This window comes from Homo sapiens, chromosome 12 (genome assembly GCF_000001405.40).
Source record: "Homo sapiens chromosome 12, GRCh38.p14 Primary Assembly".
In the NCBI taxonomy this organism is placed as follows: domain Eukaryota; kingdom Metazoa; phylum Chordata; class Mammalia; order Primates; family Hominidae; genus Homo; species Homo sapiens.
Genome location: NC_000012.12, coordinates 129,202,993 through 129,226,292, shown reverse-complemented (window position 1 = coordinate 129,226,292; position 23,300 = coordinate 129,202,993). Strand labels below are relative to the sequence as shown.

General features: G+C 43.2%; 1 protein-coding gene and 1 long non-coding RNA gene across 2 annotated transcripts in view, besides 1 other annotated feature; one reads left to right on the top strand and one right to left on the bottom strand.

Annotated features, from left to right (window-relative positions):
- TMEM132D (transmembrane protein 132D) overlaps positions 1-23,300 on the top strand; it is an 832,300-nt gene that overhangs the window by 677,733 nt on the left and 131,267 nt on the right. The window contains exon 5 of the mRNA NM_133448.3: positions 16,630-16,773. Coding sequence (NP_597705.2) covers positions 16,630-16,773 — 144 coding nt within the window. The remainder of the gene's footprint in view (positions 1-16,629; positions 16,774-23,300) is intronic.
- TMEM132D-AS2 (TMEM132D antisense RNA 2) lies at positions 13,631-17,692 on the bottom strand. The gene is made up of 5 exons (NR_110058.1): positions 17,340-17,692; positions 16,570-16,735; positions 16,027-16,256; positions 15,245-15,363; positions 13,631-14,330 (listed from the first exon to the last, which is right to left on the bottom strand). It is a non-coding gene; the product is annotated as a TMEM132D antisense RNA 2 (long non-coding RNA).
- Positions 15,423-16,622: an enhancer, noted in NCBI's record as "BRD4-independent group 4 enhancer chr12:129694216-129695415 (GRCh37/hg19 assembly coordinates)". NCBI's record gives its function as "activates an origin of replication core promoter dependent on BRD2, P300/CBP, MED14 and CDK7 cofactors, and independent of BRD4, by STARR-seq in HCT116 cells {active_cell/tissue: HCT116}" and the evidence as "EXISTENCE:reporter gene assay evidence [ECO:0000049][PMID:35650434]".

Here is a 23,300-nt window from a genome sequence, read left to right as displayed (position 1 = left end):
TTTCCTCCAGAGAGAAACCAAATGTCAATTTGCATAGGAATGAAGGCGGCCAAGAACTCATGTTCCTATAGTTCATTCACCCTTTCTTATCGCAAGCCTCCAATGCTTCACTGAGAGTTCACTGGTCTTGGCAATGAAGTCCCATTCCAGAAAGAAGTTTAGTTTCCAGAGCAAACACATGATGCGAAAATAACACGCAATCAACATCACCCTTGAAAGTCCCTCAAACCACTCATAAAATACAGCTTCTACGGCTCGAAACTTCCCGTCTTTCTTTCAGCATTGACACATTATTGTTCATTGGCTGAGCACCAAGTGGAGTTGTTGGCTTGTGCTCAGGGATCCTGGGTGTGAAAAATATGTATCTTTAATACTAAAGCTACTGACTGCAGTGAGATGCTCACACTGTGAGTGGCTGTGGGGGCTGGGGGCCACTGGGTAAACAGCAGGTTCCTGCCTCCTATACTGCAGGACAAACTTGAGTGCATTGAAAGGCACGGCAGGTTATGTCTTCTTCCCTCCTCTTCCTCTCTCTCTTGCTTTTTCCTTTTGCCAGGAACGTAATTGAATCCATGTAAGTCATTGCATATGTTAGGATACTACTAATAAGCAGCCTTATTTACAAATTAATAATGCCAAGCACTGCTTTAACACTTTGCCTGCGTTAACTCATTGGATCCGCATAAGAACTCTCTGTGGTAGATACTACTTGGAACCTTGTTTTTCAGATAAGAAAAATGAGCTGCAGAGAGTTTCAGTAACTTGCAAAGTCACAAAACATGGAAGTGACAAAGCTGGGATTTGAACACAGGCCACCCGAGTCCAAAGACTGTGCGGGTGGCGATTCTCCTGCATCTCATTTAACTCCACAGTGAAGATGAGGAAAGTTGGCCTCCAAGAACTGACATACCTTGGCCAAAGTCCCACATCTGATGCTGTGTAAAGCTAGGACTCAGATCCCTCAGGCCAGGTGCCTGTCTCCACTCCCAGGCTGGTTGAGGAGTTCTTAAAGTCAGGCAGCGTGGATGACGCCAACAATGGTGAACATGTAGCTTTGCTTAGTATGCGCCAGTCATGGCAATAACCACCTTTCATGTATGAAATCCTTCCCTTCAACCCAATAGCATGGAAACTTTTCCAGTCCCGATTTCGCAGATGAGAAAACAGACACAGTGCAGTACAGTACGGTCACTATTTTGCCGAAAGTCACAGAGCTAGTAGGCATAGGAACTGAGATTCAAAGCCAGGCTGTCTGGCCCCAAAGCTCGCACTCCTCACCCTAAGCTCTCCTGTTTCCGTATTTATTTTATATAATGTCTCTAATAAAATATAAACAATATGCACACTGATTATTTCCACTTGGGGAGATCAAGGAAGATGTAGCATTTGAGTTGGGCCTTGAGTTTGCTTAGGATAATTAAAAAATATATAAAATGGAAAAGAAAAAAACAGTTTCTACCTCCCAGGTTCAAGGGAGTCTCATGTCTCAGCCTCCTGAGTAGCTGGGACTGCAGGCGTGGCCACCATGCCTGGCTAATTTTGTATTTTTAATAGAGATGGGGTTTTGCCATGTTGGCCAGTCTGGTCTCAAACTCCTGACCTCAAGTGATCTGCTGCCTCGACGTCCAAAGTGCTGGGATTATAGGCATGAGCCACCGTGCCCTGCCTGCTTAGTCTGATTTTTAATAGCAAGCTCCACTAGTACAATAAAATATTATTTCTAAATAGACTATATTCTGTTTTTGAAAGGTTTGTCTGTTACCTAAAGCCAGCTCTGGTTGCACAAAGCTCACTGTATACAGTGGAGTCCGTACTTGCTGGTGACATGAAGAAAATCAAGAAAATCAAGAATTTTTGCATTCGTTTCTGCATTTTGAAAATTTCTCCCATTTTAAATGTGTATATTTAAAACAAATTTTGTATCAAGTAAAAAGAAGTCCTGATCTATGCAGCAGGTCTAGAGAACATATTCATCGGAACAGAAGACAAAATATTCTGATGGGAGGATCCCCGGGAAAATGGCAAGGTCAGTGAAGAGCTTGGCAAAACCTAAGATTATGAACAAAGTAAATTATATTAACTAAAGAGGAAAAAAAGGAAGGCAATGAGTAACTCCAGGAGACACAAAGTATTATAATGAAAAGAAACAGAATCCAAGGACAATTCTTCGCCCCACCGCAGTGGTTCTTAACTGAGAGTGATTTTTCTCCCTCAGGAGACACTGGCGATGACTGGAGACATTTTGGGCTGTCATACTAGGGGGATGAGGGATGCTACTGGCATCTAGTGGGTGGAGGCCAGAGATGCTGCAATGCACAACTTATAAGGCATGGAACATCCTGATAACAAAGAATTATGCAGCCCAAAATATCAATAGTGTCAAGTCTGAGAAAGCCTGCTCCACAGTGAACAATATTTGTAAGAGTATAATAGATATGTTAGTGGATTTCAACTCTGAGATCCAACCTTTGTACGAAGCACAGATGACTTCATTATGTTTCAGAACACAATGTAGACGTTATCATCCTTGAGAGTATAAAAGTAAAAGTTAGAAATGAGAAAAGTTAGGAAGCTAACACCAGAGATGAACCAAAGAGGAGCTTTAGCAGGGCTAATATTCTCGTCTTGCAAAGCGGGAGGCGGGGGTTATCAGTTATCTATTGCTGCACAAGAAACCAGCAAACCATAGTATCCTTATTACAACAACAGCCATTTATATTATGTTCTGCCATATGGCTCCGGGGGTCTACAGGACTCTGCCAGGTGGCTTCTGCTCAGGGTCTCCTGTTGAGTGCAGCAAGGTAGAGTCTACGTGGTCCTCTGAAAAGCCTCTGCATTTACACATCTGCTGTGGGGGATACCGATTACAGTCTGGGCTATTGACCAGATCACCTGCATGTGGCCTCTCCATGTGGCCAGGGCTTCTTCACAGCATGGTGACTGAGTTCCAAGAGCAAGTGCCCCCAGCAAGAAAACAAGGTTGGAGCTGTCTTGGCTTTTAGGACCTAGCCTCGGAAGTAGCAACCATCACTTCCACTGCATTCTAGAGGAAGTGATGCTTGCTACTTCCGGGGCTAGGTTCCAAAAGGTGATACAGCTAGAGGTGAGTCCTAAGACCGGCCTGTGTTGAAGGGGAGAAAACCAGACTCCACTTCCACATGGCAGGAATGTCGAAGAATCTGCAGACATGTTCTTAAACTATTCAGGGACCAAGGCATTATCTCTTTCTCCCCCCAGCTTTATTGAGGTATAACTGGCAAATAAACATTGTGTATGTTTAAGGTGTATAATATGATGTCTTGATACATATATACATTGTGAAATGATTGCCACTATCAAGCTAATAAATTCATTAGTTCCCAGAGTTACCTTTTTTTGGTAGTGAGAGCGTTTAAGAGCTGTGCTCTCAGCAAATTTCAAGTATGTGATATATTATTATTAACTATACTAAACATGCTGTACATCAAGTCTACAAAACTTACTCATTTTATAGCTGAAAATGTGTACCCTTTAACCAAAATTCCCCATTTCCCCCAACACCTCACCCAGTTCCTGGCAACCACCCTTCTACTCACCATTTCTGTGAGTTCAGCTTCTTTAGATATCACCTATAAGTAAGACGATGCAGTGTTTGTCTTTGATTAGAGGTGTATTTCCTTGAAATTATAAATACAGCCAATAGAGAAATCAAAAGGGGAACATGATCATATTGCCTGAGAAAGGAGAGAAAGTAGAAGGCAGTCAGAGATAAAATTTCATTGATCATACCAGGAAATCAGTAGCTAAAGTCTAAAACTGCTATATCAAAAAAGGGGAATATAGCATATTATTTAGATATATGGGGGAAGACCTTTATAACATAGAAGAGTTGAAAACAATTGCCTGAAGGAAACAAAAATGGAGTTAGGGAAGTGTGGATACGTGCTATGGCATTTCATTGTAAATGCTTTTGGACGGGTAACATTTTAACAATGAGCTTGGATAACCTTGATAAGATTTTGAAATTTACGTTAAAAAGGAAGGGAAGAGCACCATGCATTTGGCTGTTTCAATGGCTTTGAGAAGCCAGCCTCACAGGGAGAAGGCATGACCACATGCCCAGCCTCATGTGGGATCTGCAGCATAAAATCTTGCTGCCTCCCCAAAGGTAGAAGAATTATTTTATTTTATTATTTTATTTCATTTTAGTGTGAGTGCCAAAATGCAATCCCTCTGCATACCATACCACAGCCACGAAACCCAAGAGCTGATGTACTTTAAGAAACAGAGCGGTTTATAAATCTATTTGCAATGCAGGTGCCAATTTGACTGATACTCTGCACTTGTCAAAAGAAGCACACAGGTTATTTATAGCAACACAGCATTATTGCTAATTAGATATAGTATTTCTATGGTCAACTAATAGCTCTTATGTTTAATGTGGAAGAAATAAAAAACCCACAGCCCATCATTGTCGCAGCGTTTGTTATTTATTTGGGAGGCCAGGGGTAGGAGTAGGGGCTCAAATAACAGAGTTTGGCCAAACAAGCAAAAGACAAGGACAGGGTGATTGGTTGTTATTCTACTGATTAGGTTACTGATCTTTGTTGGGAAATTGATTGAAAAGGTTTTTTTAAGAAGTCAACCACAGTTAGGAGGACACATTGAGGAAGAAAGGGATGTGAGACCTTCATACTAACTTAGGCTGGACCTGCCCAAGCTCATTACAGCAGAAATCAGGGCAGTAACCAGGAGATGAAGGGCTAGCCACCCAGCCTATGGAGGAAATTTTGAGGTTTCATATCTGAGCAATCTATCCTGCTGCCCAGAAGGACAGCCCAGAATTTAATGATTAGGTATAGAGTGAGTTGCTGAAGCTGAATTTGGAAAGTGTTGTGTATTAATCAGGATAAGTTGGGTTATATTGGAATAAAAACTTGCTCCCAAATCACATTGCCTTAAGACAAGAAAAGCCTAATTATTCCTCCTGCTGTATGTCCTGTGTGGGTCAGGAGGAAGCTCTTCTCCACGTGTGACTCAGGTAACCAGGCTAATGGAGGCTCCAGCATCTCCTCACTGCATCATCTGGAACACAGAGCCTCCTTGGTGGCCGTGTCAGGTGAGGAGAAAGAATAGGCAATTGAACATGAAAGCTGTATTGCTTCAACCCACAAGTAACAAACAACATTGACCCGTACATTTTAGTGGCTAGAAGTGTTCACAGGTCTCTTCTGAACTGTAAGGACCTGGAAAATATGAAGGAACAAATGGCATATTCTCGGAGCATTCCTTTGTCCTCTGTAAACTGGAATTCACCTGCATGGCTGGCCCAACACCATCAAGCATGGTTGGCCAGGCATCTCCTCTGATTGGTCAGTGGCTATGCCATCCCAGGGGTGGTTGTTGGGCTTTTTTTTTTTTTCATTTTTAAATATTACGCCTGAATATGATATAACAGGAGGAAAAAAATCTTTTTATACCTGATCTGGACATCTGTCTTTAAGAGGTTTATTTCTTTTTCCATGAAACGTAAATTCACAATTCTTGTATCCGTTTGACATTTAATGTCCTCAAATTTAGTCTGTGGTGGACAAAAGAATCTTACAAGGTACCATTTCTTTATGTCGCTGGGAGATGGGGTGAAGCATAGAGGGTACATAGTTCCAATATTTAAGAGAATGAATAGACTTAGCAGAACATGAGTTTCTGTACTATAACATCAGGAGAACACGAGGCCATGGAATGTTGACACATGTAGTGGAAAACTGTTGCAGCTGCCCACAAAATACTCTCTCTGAGCTTTGAGAGCTCTCTCCACTGTGTAAATCTCATCCCCACAAGGTACTTTCCAAAAATCTACTTGGCTCAGATTTTCCTGAAAGGCAGCAAAGTGTCTGTGAGGGTATATGGGCTTGCGATCCAGTCCCTGCCAACTGGATGCACCTGTGTGAGATTTCGTTTCCAACGTGGGGAAAAGGAAGTGTGTGGGCATCCATTTTGCTGGCTCAGACTGTGGGAGAGGCAATGAGGTTCTAGAACCATCTGTCTGATTTGTAAGCTTTCTAGTCATGACAAGCAGCAGGTTCTTGGTGGCCCACTCTCTGGTTCCAGGCATTGCTCTTGGGAACTCAGCTGAAATCTGTTTCTTCAATCCCATCCATATTCCTGAATAAATCCTTTTCCGCTTGAAAGAGCTAGAGTGGATTCTGTTGTCTGCAACTAACATCCCTGACTGATACAATATTCTTAAAACTGAATATTATTTGCAAGATGTTTTGAGGAATGGGTAAATATGATGAGAAATGAAGTACATATTTTAGAGAACAAATATATTAGCAATTCAAGAAGTTGCCCACACACCAGGAAGAGAGTAAGAATGTTGGAAATGGCAGACAGAGGCGAACTGTGCTCCCAAAAGGTGCAAGGCCAGCTCCCTGTATGGTGTCAGCCCTACTGATGTGGAGCCTTCATCCAGGGCATGTGGAGCCTTGATCTCTGGATGACCTGCAGGGCTACCACCATGTTTGTATCCTTAATTTAATGAAGTATTTGATATGATCTTATCAAGTGAGCTTTCAGCCTCTCCAAGGTTTATAAGCACATGAGTGAAGAAGAATTACTTCTGAAACCTGCTGTTTAAATCAGTGTAAATGCTGGCCACACACCTCCATGCAAGTTGCAGGCCCAGGTGTGCCCCCTTTTCAAAAAGTAAGTCACATTTTTGTTCCCTACTTTATCATGGGGAATTTCTCTCCTTGCATGGGAGCAACTGAGTCCATTTCTGGAGCTGCTGTCTCCGGTGCCCTTATACGCCCTCTTGGCCCTCGTTCGTGCTGGGCAGTTGCACCCATGTGAGCGAAGACTTGTCATTCCCTGACATATTAGTCTGTTCTCACACTGCTAATAAAGACATACCCAAGACTGGGTAATTTATAAAGGAAAGATGCCTAATGGACTCACAGTTCCACATGGCTGGGGAAGCAAGGGCATGTCTTACATGGTGGCAGGCAAGAGAGCTTGTGCAGGGGAATTCCCATTTATAAAACCATCAGATCTCATGAGACTTATTCACTATCACAAGAAAAGCATGGGAAAGACCTGCCCCCATGATTCAATTACCTCCTACCAGGTCCCTCCCATGACACATGGAGATTATTACAATTCAAGGTGAGATTTGGGTGGGGACACAGAGCCAAACCATATCACCTGAGCTGGCCCCACCTCCAGGCATTATGGACATCTTTCCATGTTTTGCTCCAGGGTTTTTCTGACATCATGGGAGCCCATTCCCAAGCATGGAGTTTACACACCCGGGGAAACCTGTAACCCCAGGAATGCAGGCTTCTAGCCTTTAGTCAGACAATTCTGGGAGAATCCTCCCTCTGTAAATCGAGTTCCTCTGGGCACCACTGCAACCTTGACAACACACCATTGTGTTGGCTTCCCCTGTCACTGTCTCCTGCTGCTTACGCCTCACTCCCGCCTCCTGCAAAGAGATTAACTTGTCTTAGGCCTGTTTTGGGGGGAATTCAAATGAACAAGATGTCCAAGTTGCACTTTGGTGACTGAGATTGCTACTTGCTAAAGAAACAAAAAGTTTGCATCTCAATGACAGTTTAGAATGAAACCTCAAAAACCAATATACTTTGATCTAATCACCTTGCTGGTCAACTTCATTCAAAAGGGTACAGTTATGTGCCATATACCAACATTTCGGTCAACAATGAACTGCGTATACCACTGTGGTCCCATAAGATTATGCTACTGTATTTTTATTCTCAGTTTTCTATGTTGAGATACACAAATACTTACCATGGTAAATACTTACCATGGTGTTTCAGCTGCCTGTAGCATTCTGTGCAATCACCTGCCATACAGATGTGTAGCCCAGGAACAATAGGCTATGCCGTATGGCCAGGTGTGTAGTATGCTCTGCCTTCTAGGTTTGTGGAATATACTCTATGATGTTCACACAACGATGAAATCGCCTAACAATGCATTTCTCGGAATGTATCCCCATCCTTAGTGACCCATAACTGTTCACTGTAACCAAAATAAACTGATTCTCACTACCTAACATTTTTAAAAATGAATTTATTGCAAGAATAGGGGCTCTCTCAGAGGATGAATTTAAAAGCTGGACAAAAAGCCCTCAGAAAAGGTAGGAACCAGGACAATGCTAGAGATAGATCAGGATAAAGGGCATAGACTTTTCAGGTGCCACAAATGAGACAAATGAAATTCAGCTATTCTTGACCCGGCCTCACTCCCTTTGAGTGTAATTCAAGTCCCAGGGAGAGAGGCTGCTGGTCCTAGCTCCGGAGATGCCTGCCTACTTTTGACCAGGGGAGAGCGTTATTGTGCCCCCACCAAGCTTCATGCACAGGAGAAGTGATAGCTTCCCAAAGGAAAATGGATGTCCTCTTATACAAAAGGAGGTAGGAAAAGCAAAAACTATCTATCCTAGTGACTCATTGTTTTCCTTAAAAAATGTTATGAGGAAATGTCTCAATATGTAACGCAAATCCTGTTTGTTTGAAAGTTTATGCCTACTGTCTCATGTCTATTAACAGCTAACCTCTGTAAAAAATGCTACCTTTTTGCAAGTCTTCAAGCTTAATGGGCCAGTTAGCTTTTATGTCCATTTCTTCAAAATTCCCCTTTCTCAAATGTGCCTCACACAGAGTTAAGTGATGGGAACACACTGCTTAGAGGTTGAGGTGTTGGGCTGTGAGCTGTTCTGGTTGGATAAGCCTCCATCTTCCTCTGATGCCTTCCCCGAGCCAATTTTGCACAGGGCAGGGAAGGCTGGAGGTTCAGGTGGCGCTCCGTTTCATTTGCTGTTTGGAATGTTTGCCCCCTCTAACCTCCTCCAATGGGGTGCTCAGATTGGGTGCATTAATCACTGTGATGTTAAGCACTGTGTCCTCTCTGTGACAACTCTCTGTGTCCATGTGTTCTCAACATTTAGCTCACACTTATAAGTGAGAACATGTGGTATGTTGTTTTCTGTTCCTGTGTTAGTTTGCTAAGGATAATGACCTCCAGCTCCAACCATGTCCCTGCAAAGGACATGACCTCGTTCTTTTTTATGGCTGTATAGTATTCCATGGTGTATAGTTAAGCACTTTGATGCTTTTGTTTAGGAAGGAATCAGTTGATGCAGCTCACATTACACTATTTTTATTTCTTCTAACCGTACTCATCTATTTTAACATTTATGGGATCATTTCACAACCATATATTAAAATGGCAAGTGATCTCTAAAGAGGCTGTAATAACTTTAGGGACAAAAAAGAACAACAACAACAACAACAAAAAATGTTTTTTCCCGTTACAAAAAAATAAGTCAATTTAAATAAGTCAATTTAACTTACTCGTTTTGGCTTAAGACCGATAAGAAATCATGAGGCGGTCCCCTTTCAGGTTGCATCAGTTAAGATGGTGATTATCTGTGAGTAACAGAACTTGGAAATCAATGGTTAGAATGAGCAAGCTCTTAATTCTCTCTGCAAACATGCTTGGAGGTGGATGCCCAGGGTGAGTGTGGCCATGCTTCTGGCATCCAGGCGCTTCCTTTTTGACTAGTCACTGTATTCGCTTCCTAGTGCTGCTGTACTGAAGTGATGAAGTAACACAACGTGATGGCTAAATACAAGAGACACTCACTCCATCACTGTTCTGGAGGCTGCAAGTCTAACATTATGGTGTGACCAGGGCCATGCTCCCTCTGGAGGCTCTAGGGAAGCATCCTTCCTACCTCTTCCAGCTTCTGTGGGTTGTGCCAATTCTTGATATTCCTCAGCTTACGGATGGATCACCCCAATCTCTGGCTCCATCTTCCTGTGCCATCCTCCCTGTGTGTCTGTCTGTGTTTTCTCTTCTTGTAAGGACACCCACAATCCCACCTTAATCCATTAAGACCATGTCTCAACTAATCACATCTACAGAGATACTGATTCCAAATAAGCTCACATTCAGGTGGACATGAACTTAGTACTCAACACACCATGGTCATCATTCATCTGTGCTTATTTATCAGACATTTGGGAGGGCATTTATTAGTTACCAGGTGCTGTTCTAAACACTCTACAAATACTAACGCACCAAATCTAGGGCAAACCCAAGAGGTACATACCATCATTATGCTCATGTTATAGCTGAAGAGAATTAGGCACGAAGAGTTAAGTAACTTGCTTGGAGCCACCCAGCTGGTAGTGTCACAACCAGGATTCAAACGCAGGCAGTCTGATATGGTTTGGCTGTGTCCCCACCCAAATCTCATCTTGAATTGTAGCTCCTATAATTCCCACATGTTGTGGGAGGGACCTGGTGGGAGATAATTGAATCATGCATTCGGGCGGTTTCCCCCACACTGTTCTCATGGTAGTGAGTAAGTCTCAGGAGATCTGATGATTTTATTTGGGGTTTCCCCTTTCACTTGGCTCTCCTTCTCTCTTTGCCCCACGCCATGTAAGACATGCCTTTGTTCTTCCCTCACCTTCCGCCATGACTGTGAGGCCTCCCCAGCCACCTGGAACTGAGTCCATTAAACCTCTTTTTCTGTATAAATTACCCAGTCTTGGGTATATCAGCAGTGTGAAAACAGACTAATGCACAATCCAAGAGAGAGTCCCTGCACTTAACTATTAATAGTTCACTACACTGAAACCACGTGTCTTTTAACCACATACCACCACCTTTGAGTCACAAGATGCGGTTTAACTCCAACATTATCTGTGCCTAGTGGGCAGGAAGAAAGGAAAGACATCTTTCAGAATCTGCTTAGTTCTTCTTATTTTTTTCACCTTAATTTAATTTTTATGTAACTCTTATTTTAAATTAAGGAGTACATGTGCAGGTTTGTTACAAAGGGAAATGTGTCATGGAGGTTTGTTGTACCAATTATTTCCCCACCCAGGTATTAAGCCTACTACCCATTGGTTGTTTTTCCTGATCTTCTCCCTCCTCCCAACCTCCACCCTCACATAGGCCCCAGTGTGTGTTGTTACCCTCTATGTGTTCATGTGTTCTCATCATTTAGCCCCCACTTATAAGCGAGAACATGTGGTATAAGCGAGAACAGGTGGTATGTTGTTTTCTGTTTCTGTGTTAGTTTGCCAAGGATAATGGCCTCCAGCTCCAACCATGTCCCTGCAAAGGACATGATCTCATTCTTTTTTATGGCTGCATAGTATTCCATGGTGTATATGTATCACATTTTCTCTATCCAGTCTACCATTGATGGACATCTAGGTAGATTTCATGTCTTTGCTATTGTGAATACTGCTGCAGTATACATGCACATGCCTGTGTCTTCATGGTAGAATGATTTATATTCCTTTGGGTCTATACTTGGTAATGGGATTGCTGGGTCAAATGTATTTCTGTTTTTATCTCTTTAAGGAATCACCACACCGTCTTCCACAAAGGTTGAACTAATTTACACTCCTACCCACAGTATATAAGTATTCCCTTTACCCCACAATGTCACCAGTATCTGTGGGTTTTTAAAAATCTTTTTAATAATAGCTATTCTGACTGGTGTGAGATGATATCTCATTGTGGTTTTGATTTGCATTTCTCTAGTGATCAATGATGTTGAGCTTTTTTATGTGAGTATTGTCTGTGTGTCTGTCTTCTTTTGAGTTTTTGTTTGTTTTTTCACAAAATTTTCTGGAAGTCTCACTAAATGACTTTTATTGATATCTTCTGGGCCAGAAATGTGTCAGAGATTAAGGGCAGCCAAAAACTATAGTCATTTTATTCAGGCATGTTACAGCCACAAATGAAATTGGGGTTTTGTCAGAAAGAAAGGCAGAACAGACATTGAATGGGCAACAAACTGTCTAACACAGAGATCAATCTCTTAAGATGTTTAAAAGCTTCCCTTGTGCAGTGTTTTTCTCTATCCATTATTTTCCTTGTCTCTTTTACAATTAATTTTCAAAGGTCAACATGAATAAATGACTATGCTGATACTTGAAGCATAACATCAGGATACCAGAAACATGAGGAAATTTAAAAAAACAAAAATCAAAATAAAAAGCACTCTAATTCTGGTTCCAATCCATCAGACCACTGCATGACAGATTACTTCAGTGATGTTGTAGCAGACTCAGTTAGGGCCCTACACATTTCCCTTGTACCCTAGCACAGCAGTGTTCTCCAGACCAGGTCCAAGTGTCACCATCCATCGGGAGCTTCCTTTGAAATAGTAGAAGTCTGTTTTGTCTGCACATGCAGTGGGCTGGAAGTGCTAAGCAGTGGTCTGTTTAGGAGCAGCACTTAGGTTTGGTGTATAAATACCCCAGCTCCCTCAGCCCTCAACGAAACTATTCTTAGGTGTATATTCTAGAGAAATCCCCTGCAGGGAAATACATCATAATAGATTTCAATCTATTGAGATACATACACATTTACACACTGCTACGGTTGGAATGTCTGTTCCCCCAAACCTCATGTTGAAATGTGATCCCCCGGGTTGGAGGTAGGGCCATGGGAGGTATTTGGGTCATGGGAGTGAATCCCTCATGAGTAGGTAAAGTCCCTCTCTGGTTGGCAGTGGGCGTGGGGCAGTGATGGAGTTCTCAGCATTGTTAAAAGCCTGGCACTTCCCCTGTTCTTCTCCCTTGCTTCCTCTACTACTAGGTGATCTCTGCACATGCCTGCTCCCTTCGCCCTCCTCCACAAGGCTTTCTCCAGATGCCCAATCTTTCAGCCAGCAGAATCAGGAACCAAGCAAACCTTTTATTCTTATAAATTACCCAGCCTCTCTAGGTTTTTTTGTTTTGTTTTGTTTTGTTTTGTTTGTTTTGAGAGAAGGCCTCGCTCTGTTGCCCAGGCTGTGGTGCAGTCGCACAATCACGACTCACTGCAGCCTTGACCTCGCTGGGCTCAGGTGGTCCTTTCACCTAGCCATTCAAGTAGTTGGGACTACAGGCATGTACCATCACACCTGGATAAACTTTTTTCTATTTGTTTGTAGAGACAGGGTCTCACTGTATTGCCCAGGCTGGTCTCGAACTCCTGGGTTCAAGTGATCCACCTGCCTCAGCCTCCCAAAGGGCTGGGATTGCAGGTGTGAGCCACTGCACCTAGCCTGGTATTTCTTTATAGCAATACAAATGAACTAAGACACACACACAGAATATACAATATATGTCGTGAAATACATCATCCCCTGCAGGATCAGCCCCAGGTGCCCACTGTGATAACTGGTTTAATCTACACAACTTGTTAGTAGCCTCCTTTTCCCCGTGTCACTTGCACACTCTCCTATTGAAGTTTCCTGAATGTCCCAGATAAATTGCTCTTGAATCTTTGTCCCAGGATCTACTTCCAGGCTGGCTCAAACTAAGACATGGGTCATTATTTCTCTAGCAAGACAGGGGCTGTTATTGTTTCCCTATAATGGATGACAGTGAGCCCCCAGGAAAAATATCTGAAGCCTCACTTTAATGGTGATACCTTCTCAGTGCCACATCCAGCCTATTCTCTGCTATTCTACCTCCTCCTTGACTCTGGAGTGCCTAAAGTTCTGTAGTGCTTTGTCAGAGATCCTTACTGGCACACAGATAATGCCCAAGTAGCAGAAAGGGTGTATGAAGTGACAATAAGGATTATGATTGACTGACGGGAAGGAGATATGTTTTCTAAAGAGAGTCTGTGCCTTTATTTCCTAGGCTCTGCAGTGCTGTGATAAGGTGACCACGCAGCAATAAGGAAGCTGAGCTTTCAAGGGTTTTCTGGGGTCCAAAAATCAGAGCAGTTATAGGTCATATCTCAGGCAAAGCTAAGGCTTTACAGGTACTTCTGCCACTGAACAAGGGTCTCTTTTGTCCTCCTCTTATCTGAAGACTTCTGTGAGTCATCCCCGTACCATTCACCTCCTGGAAAAGGCAAAGCTGTCCAAAACAGAAAATTCGTGACGTCAAAGAATTGGAAATACACAGAGGAGGCAGGGAAATACCAAGCCTGAAGGCTCAGTCACTCAGCCACGCTGAGATCTTGGTAGGCAGAAACACGTATGCTATTCAGAGAAAAAGGCAACACCCCAGACATATGGGCTTACAGCTGCTCATCAGTCATTCCCAGCGTCATTTCTCATTATATTAACCTGAATGTGCAAAAACATGAAAGGCCTTTTGATTTTTATCGTTAGAGTGGAGATGCTCTTCAGTTTTTACCACGAATGTGAGAAACTGTTTTCCCTGAGACTGATGTCAGAAGTGGCCACACTGCTCCCTCGTCTGTCTCTCTCCTTTGTGATGAGCCAGTTTCGGCCAGCAAGTTAAACAGCATTGTTCCACTTTTTTCCAGAATACCACTTGTTCCTTTTGATCCTCCCCCTTTAGAGTAGAAAAAAAAGTTAGGTTGGTGCAAAAGTAATGGTGATTTTTGCCATTAAAGCTAATTTTTCCTGCCTAGAGGCAGCAGGAAATAGCATCATATACTGATTTTGCCCCTTCATGTTTGTGCCATGTTTTTATTCGAATTAAAGTAAAATCAGGCTGGGAACCCACAGAGGAGAAAAAGTGTATGGATAATGGGACTTTGAAGGCCTATGCATATTCCAACAGTTTGAAACATGGTCTCTGAACTTCAGGAGCATTCCAAATTGGAGTCTTGTCTTTTAGAATTAAAATAATGAATAATATATGTATTGCTACATCCAAAGCCTAACCCCAGTGAGCTGGTTATAGACAAATCTCATCCCATAAATGACAAATAAGATCTTATCTAAGAAATAGTTAACATAATGAAAATAGTTATGTAATTTTAGGATGATAAACTTCTATTCCTTCTGCTGGCATTCTACTAACAGGCATTTTACATTTCACATGAGAATCAAAGTAACAAGAATCTTTGCAAGCTCATCTCTCAAAATGACATAGATACAGCCCTACTGAGCTCGCAGTCTTAGAAGGAAAATAAAGCGATTGAATAACCATGAGTGAAAGTAAAATGACAATTGTTTTAGATCCACCCTAACCAGCAACTAGCACCCACCCAGATCTTTTGATGTTATTGTGTCAAGGAAAAGACAGATACGTTCATAGTTAACAGAAGAAACGCAATGTGGCATGTTGATAAAACACCTCTTAGGGACACCACTGGAATGTAATGAGCTGAAACTGAGCAAAGAACATTGTGAGCTAGGACTTGGAAGTTGTATTATACAGAGATGTGGGGTTATATTGGGACTTCTACGTTTTTGTGATAGAAAATGCAATCTCTGCAGAGAAGAATGAGATTCACTTACCGGGTCTTGAGGCTCAGTTTTCTCTATCTGAAAAATGGGCTCCTATGATCTCTCTGTCCCCCACCAGTTAAAAAATCACAAGAATTCTAGAGGAGTCACTGAGGATGAGCATGGGTGTGCTGGAGAGAGAGATGCAGGGTGTCATGAGATCCAGAGATGCTCGATGTCTGGGAAACACCACCGAGGCATAGGTGTGCCTGAAAAAAGGAGATTCATGCATACAGTGTGAGGAGCTGGGGAGCAAGAAGGTGAGGATGTAAATCCCAGTCCTTTCCCTGTTGAGTCCTATTTATGCACTTGACAAACATTAACACCATTCGTTGTAGCTAAGCTCTGCGCTGGGTGCTGGTGAGCAGAAAGCAGATACAGCCCCATGGAGCTTAGAGTCTGGAAGAGAGATAAAGGGATTAAATAACTATAAGTAAAAGTAAAACAGCAACTGTTAGGTGCTACCAAGGGGAAAGGTTCAGGACATTCTTAATTCTGAAAGCAAATACTTGGGGCAAGCCGGGACATCCCTAAAGACACCTGTCTTGAGCTGCTCGATGAAAGAAGGGTTTACAGCAAAACGCATGTTTGGGTGAGTGTGGATGTGTGTGGTGCATCGTGGGTCGCATCAGTGGGGATGTGGGAGTGCTGTTGGAGCCACAGCAACATTCCAGACACGTCTGGAGGCCAGGACCCAATAAAAGCCTAGAAAATTGAAACAGAGTGAAAGCAAGCCAGAGCAAGAGAGCACAGAGAGCGAGGGCTCTCTCCCTGCCTTTGTCTCCCTCACATACCTCGCACTGGTGGTGCGGTGCTGCTCATCAAGCTTCTTTCACAACACCAGGCCCCTCTGGCCATCCTTCGGCGGCTTAAGCTACCGTCGTCATGTCCACGTTTAGACCTATTTGAGTTAGCTGATGCATGGACTCGGGAGCTGGACTTCCCAGGTTCAAATCCTGCCTTCATTAATTTCTAGCTGGGTGACCCTGGGCAAGTGACAAAAGCTCTCTGTGCCATCTGTAAACTGGGAAGAAGAAGAATGTTTGTCTTATCAGGATGCTATGAGGATTGACGAGCCGATATTTGTAAAGCACTTACAAGGGTGCCTGACACATAAGTGTTTGCCAAACACAATATTAGTAATAAATTTCCTCCGCCACCTTTTCTGTCCTCCACCCCTTCCCCATCATAGTTGCCCTGTGGAAATCTGGGTGAGGACAGAACATTATCTCATGGCTGCCACGGTCAGCCAGCTGGTGCGGACTGCCAGGATTTCTGAGCCTGCAGAAGAGGCCAGTGCTGTTTGCAGGGAGGCTGAGGAAAGGCAGGCGGCATACTCCCAGGGACTGGGCCGTCTCAGGAGGGGATGTGATGGAAGGGTGTGTTTGGTCTTCCAGGAGGCAGAAATCCTGAACACAGCCATCCTCACGGGGAAGACGGTGGCCGTCCCGGTGAAAGTGGTCTCCGTGGAGGACGACGGCACAGTGACAGAGCTGCTGGAGTCTGTGGAGTGTAGATCGTCTGATGAAGACGTGATTAAGGCAAGTTGACACCTCCCCGCCCCTGCAGAAACCTGCTGTCATGTCAGCTTCTGTGCTCCTGGACCAGCTTGGGACCTCTGGGACCTCTGGGACCTCTGGGTCCCACAGGATCCCTCCCATCCCATTCTGGTTATCCTGCCACTTAAATCAGGACATTCTCCGTGGCACAAATATTGGACAGAATGAAAAAGTGCTCTGGCTGGTGACTCCGAGTCTGGGAGGCTGTCCCTTGACACTCTGTGTTCGCCGAATGCCCTTGGCCTCTTCCCAGATCCCCAGGGAGATTGTCGTGGGAGGCAGGGACCCGCTTACCCTCCACCCACCCCAGGCAGGGGAGAAGAAGGGAAGGAGCCCTAGAACCTAGATGGATGGGTATGCGGCCACACTCCGGGATGATTCTATAGCACACAGCATTCGTGTAAAATCAATGGTGGTATAAGGTGTACAACTACTCCCAGCTTTGATTTACAGTACTGGCCAAGGGAGGAAGAGGAAATCATTCTCCATTCCTCTGCCCAGCCCACAAAATTCCACATGAGCTAGGGATGTGGATGAACAGCGCTCACCCCTCCTTCCTTCGTCTCAGCCTCTTCTTTCTCTTCTTAAATTGAAATCAAAAATGATTCAAAACAAAGGCACCCTGGGAGACGGATGGAGGAGGCTGGGGAGATGGAGTCTTGCTCTGCCAGGAACCTCATAGCACACTTCCAGCCTGCAGGAGATAAATGGGTTCCCCAGGCTGCCTCCGCCCACTCCAGAGACAGGGCTGCAGTGACAGATGCAGCAGGCACCTCCTCAAAGGAGGAGGCTGCCAACAAAAGCCCGGGACAGCGAGAAGGGCTTCACGAGGCTCCGGGAGACTCCCTCCATATGAGTCCTAGCCATGGCTGGAGCACAGGACAATTCCCGGACAGGAATTGGTGTAACCACTCTGCTCTGAAGCAAACCTTCAGGGAGCATTTTTGCTCACTTAAAACGCAGTCAACAAATGCGAATCAAATCCCCACTAAGTGCTAGGTACTGTTCAAGACTCTAGGACCACATAAATGAGATGGACGTCCATCCTTATGGGTTTCAGAGAGAAGGCAGAGATGTCAGAAAGCAACAGGGCAGCGGAACACATGACATCATACAGCACTCCTACCTACTCATTCCAGAATCTTCTTCACATCAGCACAGGACAACTTCCTTCACTGACTCCAGCCAATATCTAGGCTCATCTTACATTTCTCCCCTCTCTGCACACCCAAGCCTTCATCAAATCCTGTTGGCAGTGCCTTCCAAGGATAGCCAGGATCCAGCCCTCCTCGGGTCCTGCCACCACCCCAATCCCAGACACAATCACCTCAAAGCATTGACCACCTTGCTGGTGACCTAGGGCCTGTCCTTACCTCCTCTCCCATAACCCCTCTTTAGTGCTACAGCCAGGGCGGTCACGGGCGATATGACCATGTCACTCCTCTGCTCGGCCCCTCAGGCTGATGAGTGGACACAGATGTGCAGTTTGAAAGAAGAAATAAGACCTCATGTTAGATAGATCAGTTGGGTGATGACAGTTTACAATAATCTATTACATATTTCAAAATAGCTAGAGAATAATACTAACATTCCTAGCATAAAGAAACAACAAATATCTTAGGTGGAGGCTATCTCAGTTACACTGATTTGATCTCCACAAATTTTATGAATGTATTAAATGGCCACGTGGACCCCAAAATATGTACATTAATTATGGATCAATACTTTTTTTATATAAAAAAAATTCACTGGCTTCCCCTCCTCACAGTAAAAGCCAAAGTATTTACAGAGACAGAATCAAACCTTTGCAGCCATACCTGCTGTAACGCTGGCCTCACGCTAGGCACAGCCCCTCTGGCTGCCTCCACTCTGGCCACACTGGAGACTCGGCCACTCCTGTAACAGGACAGGCATCCCCTCTCCTCCCTCTGCCTTTAACTCTCTTTCCCTGGATGCCTGTACGGCTCCCTCGCCTCATCTTCTCCCCAAGGCCTTTTCTGAGCAGCGTCAGCAAAATCTTCACAGACACCCACAGCACTGCCTTCCCCATCCCTGCTGAACTTCTATTCATATATGCGTATATGTCATACATAGCATACGTTTATGTATTCACAGATACACTATATATTTTTGTTTGTTGTATTCATCTTCTGACTGTCCTCGTTGGAACCTAAGCTCTGTGAGGGCGGTGCTGTATTCATCGTCTGACTGTCCTCATTGGAATCTAAACTCCATGAGGGCGGTGCTGTATTCATCTTCTGACTGTCCTCCTTGGAACTTAAGCTCCGTGAGGGCGGTGCTGTTTGGGTCCACTTTGTTTGCTGCTCTATTCTTATCACAACAGTAGTGGGGGGTTTTTTGTTTGTTTTTTTCTTTTTGTGTGTTTTTAACTTTTATTTCAGGTTTGGGGGTACACGTACAGGTTTGTTATATATTAATAGGTCACCTGCGTGTCACAGGGCTTTGATTACAGATAGTTTCATCACCCAGGTAATAAGCACAGTACTCAAGAGGTATTTTTCTCTGATCCTCTCCCCTTCCCACCCTCCAGCCTTCCATAGACCCCAGTGTGTGTTATTCTCCTCCTAGTATCCATGTGTTCTCCTTGTTGATCTCCCACTTGTAAGCAAGAACATGGAGTATTTGGTTTTCTATTCCTGTATTAGTTAGGATAATGGCCTCTAGCTCCATCCATGTCCCTGCAAAGGACATGATCTCATTCTCTTTTATGGCTGCATAGTATTCCATGGTGTATATGTACCACATTTTCTTTATCCAGTCTAGCACTGATGGCCATTTAGGTTAATTTCATGTCTTTGCTATTGTGAATAGTGTAGCAATGAACATTCGCGTGCATGTATCTTTATGGTAGAATGATTTATATTCCTTTGGGTATGTACCCAATAATAGGATTGCTGGATTGAATGGTAGTTCTGTTTTTAGCTCTTTGAGGAATCACCAAACTGCTTTCCATAGTGGCTGAACTAATTTGCATTCCCACCAGCACCGTATCAGCATTCCCTTTTCTCCACAACCTCACCAGCATCTGCTATTTTTTGACTTTCTAATAATAGGCCATCTGACTGGTGTGAGATGGTATCTCATTGTGGTATTGATTTGCATTTCTCAAATGATTAGTGATGTTAAGCATTTTCTCATATGCTTATTGGCCATATATATGTCTTCTTTTGAAAAATGTCTGTTCATGTCCTTTGCTCACTTTTCAGTGGGGTTGGTTTTTGCTTGTAAAATTGTTTATTTTCCTTACAGGTGCGGGATATGAGACCTTTGTCAGATGCTAAGTTTGCAAATATTTTTTTCCATTCTGTATGTAGGTTGTCTGTTTACTCTGTTGAGTTTCCTTTGCTCTGCAGATGCTCTTAACTTTAATTAGATCCTGTTTGTCAATTTTTGTTTTTGTTGCAATTGCTTTTGGCATCTTCCTCATGAAATCTTTGCCAAGTTCTGTGTCCAGAATGGTATTTCTTAGGTTATCTTCCAGGGTTTCTATAGTTTTGAGTTTTACATTTAAGTATTTAATCCATCTTGAGTTAATTTTGTATGTGGTGTAAGGAAGGGGTAGGTCATTCAGGAGTAGGTTGTTTAACTTCCATGTAATTTTATGATTTTGAGTGATTTTCTTTGTATTTATTTCTGTTTTCATTGTGCTGTGGTCTGAGAGTATGGTTGGTATGGTTTCAATTTTTTTTTTTGAATTTGCTAAGGATTGTTTTATGTCTGATTATGTGGTTGATTTTGGAGTATGTTCCACGTGGTGATGAGAAGAATGTATATTCTATTGTTTAGGGGTGGAGAGTTTTGTAGATGTCTATGAGGTTCATTTGGTGAAGTGTTGAGTTCAGGTCCTGAATATCTGTGTTAATTTTCTGCTTCAATGATTTGTCTAATACTGTCAATGGGATGTTGAAGTTTCCCACTATTATTGCATAGGGATCTAAGTCTCTTCCTAGGTCTCTAAGAACTTGCTTTATGAATTTGGATGCCCCTGAATTGGATGCATGTATAGTTAGGATAATTAGGTCTTATTGAATTGAACCATGTACTATATAATGCCCTTCTTTTTTTTATCTTTGTTGGTTTAAAGTCAGTTTTTTTTTTTTTTTTCTGAAATTAGGATTGTAACTCTTGCTTTTTTTCTGTTTTCCATTTCTTTGGTAGATTTTTCTCCATCCCTTTATTTTGAGCCAATGGATGTCACTACATGTGAGATGGGCCTCTTAAAGACAGCATACCATTAAGTCTTGTTTCTTTATCCAGCTTGCTATTCTGTGCCTTTTAATTGAGGCATTTAGCCCATTTACATTTAAAGTTAGTATTGATATGTGCAGATTTGATCCTGTCTTCATGTTGTTAGCCATAGATTTGTTTGTGTTGTTGCTTTATAATGTCACTGTTCTGTGTATGGAAGTGTTTTTTCAAATTGGCTGGCAATGGTCTTTCCTTTCCATATTTAGTGCTCCTTTCAGGACCTCTTGTCAGGCAGGTCTGGTAGTAACAAATTCTCTCAGCACTTGCTTGCCTGAAAAAGGGGCTTATTTCTCCTTCACTTATGAAGCTTAGTTTGGATATGAAATTTTTGGTTGGAAATTTTTTTCTTTATGAATGTTGAATATAGGACCTCAATCTCTTCTGGCATGTAGGGTTTCTGCTGAAAGGTCCACTGTTAGCCTGGTGGGGTTCCCTTTGTAGGTGACCTGCCCCTTCTCTCTAGCTGCCCTTAACATTTTTCCTTTCATTTTGACCTTGGAGAATCTGATGATTGTGTCTTGGGGACGTTCTTCTTGTGTGATATCTCACAGGGGTGCTCTACATTTCCTGAATTTGAATGTTGGCATATCTAGCAAAGTTGGGGAAGTTTTCATGGGTGATATCCTGAAATATGTTTTCCAAGTTGCTTGCTTTCTTCCTGTCTCTTTCAGGGATACCAGTGAGTTGTAGATTTGGTCCCTTTACATAATCCCATAAGCCTTCCTCAGAGGCTTTGTTTGTTCTTCTTCATTTTCTTCCTTTATTTTTGTTTGACTGAATTATTTCAGACAGCCAGCCCTCAAGCTCTGAGATTTCTTCAGCTAGGTCTATTCTGCTTTTAATACTTGCAATTGCATTATTTAATTCTTGTAGTGTGTTTTTAAGCTCTATCACATCAGCTTCCTTCTTTTTTATAATGGCTACTTTGTTCCTTTATCATTTTATTGTGATTCTTAATTTCCTTAGATTGGGTTTGATATTCTCTTGAATCTCTGTGATCTTTGTTTCTATCCATATTCTGAATTCTATTTATATCATTTCAGCCATTTCAACCTTGTTAAGAACCCTTGCTGGGGAACTAGTGCAGTCATTTAGAAGAAAAAAGGCACTCTAGCTTTTTCAGTTGCCAGAGTTTTTGTGTTTGCTCTTTCTCATTTGTGTGGGCTGATATTTCTTCAGTATATGAAGTTGATGTCCTTTGGATGGGTTTTTTGGCTCTTTTCTTCTTTGAGGTTCTAGGGGGTTTGATTATGGCATAAGGTGGGTTCGGTTGACTGGCTTCAATTCTAGTCTGCTCCTGGGTCTCTGAGGAGCCCCCTCTGATTACTGTTTTCATGCCCATATTTCTTTTGTTCAGTATTCTGGTCCATGAGGCCCCCTCAGGCAGGAGCCACAATTGGCAGACAAGCTGTATACTTACCAGGTTGGTCCTAATCTGCTGCCCATATGCTCCCTGGGGAAATATGGGGTTGTGCCCGCCTGTCCTTAGAGCTCAGGCAGAAACAGGACTGCTGTGTTGGAAGCTCTCTGGGTGTGACACGTCTGGCTATGGGAGGCAAGAGAGGGTGGAGTTCCCTGCCCAGACATCCAGATGTTTCCAGAGCAACAGGAGGCTGTGTCCCTTGGCAAATTTAGGCAGAAGTAGGACCATTGAGCTAGAAGCTCTAGCAGGAGTGGCTTGCCTGGCTACCAGTGGCAGGGGTGGGTAACAATGCCTGCCCTGCCCTCCACATGCTTCCTGGGACCACAGGAGGCTGCACCCACTGGCTGAGTTCCCACAGAAGCAGGGCCACTGGACCAGAAGCTCTAGCAAGCATTGCCCTCCTGGCTGTCAGTCAACACTAGTGTTAAAAGAAAAACCTTAAACAAATTAAATTTAACAGAGTTTAATTGAGCAAATAATGATTCACAAATTAGGGAACCCCCAGAATCTGAACAGGTTCAGAGTGACTCTGGAGCTGTCATGTGGTCAGATAACATTTATAGACAGAAAAAGGAAAGTGGACCACAGAAAACAGAGTGAGGTGCAGATGCAGCCGGGTTAGTTACAGTTCAGCATCTGCTGTATTTGAACATGGTTTGCGGTGTTGGCTACCTGTAGTTGGCTGACACTCAGCGATTGATACAAAAGCAGGTACAGTGTGGTTGAACGTGCAGTTAGGTTACTGTTCAGTAGGCATGGAGAAACCTTTGGGCCAAACTTAAGCTACATGTGGCAGCTTTAGGCTAAACTTAACACT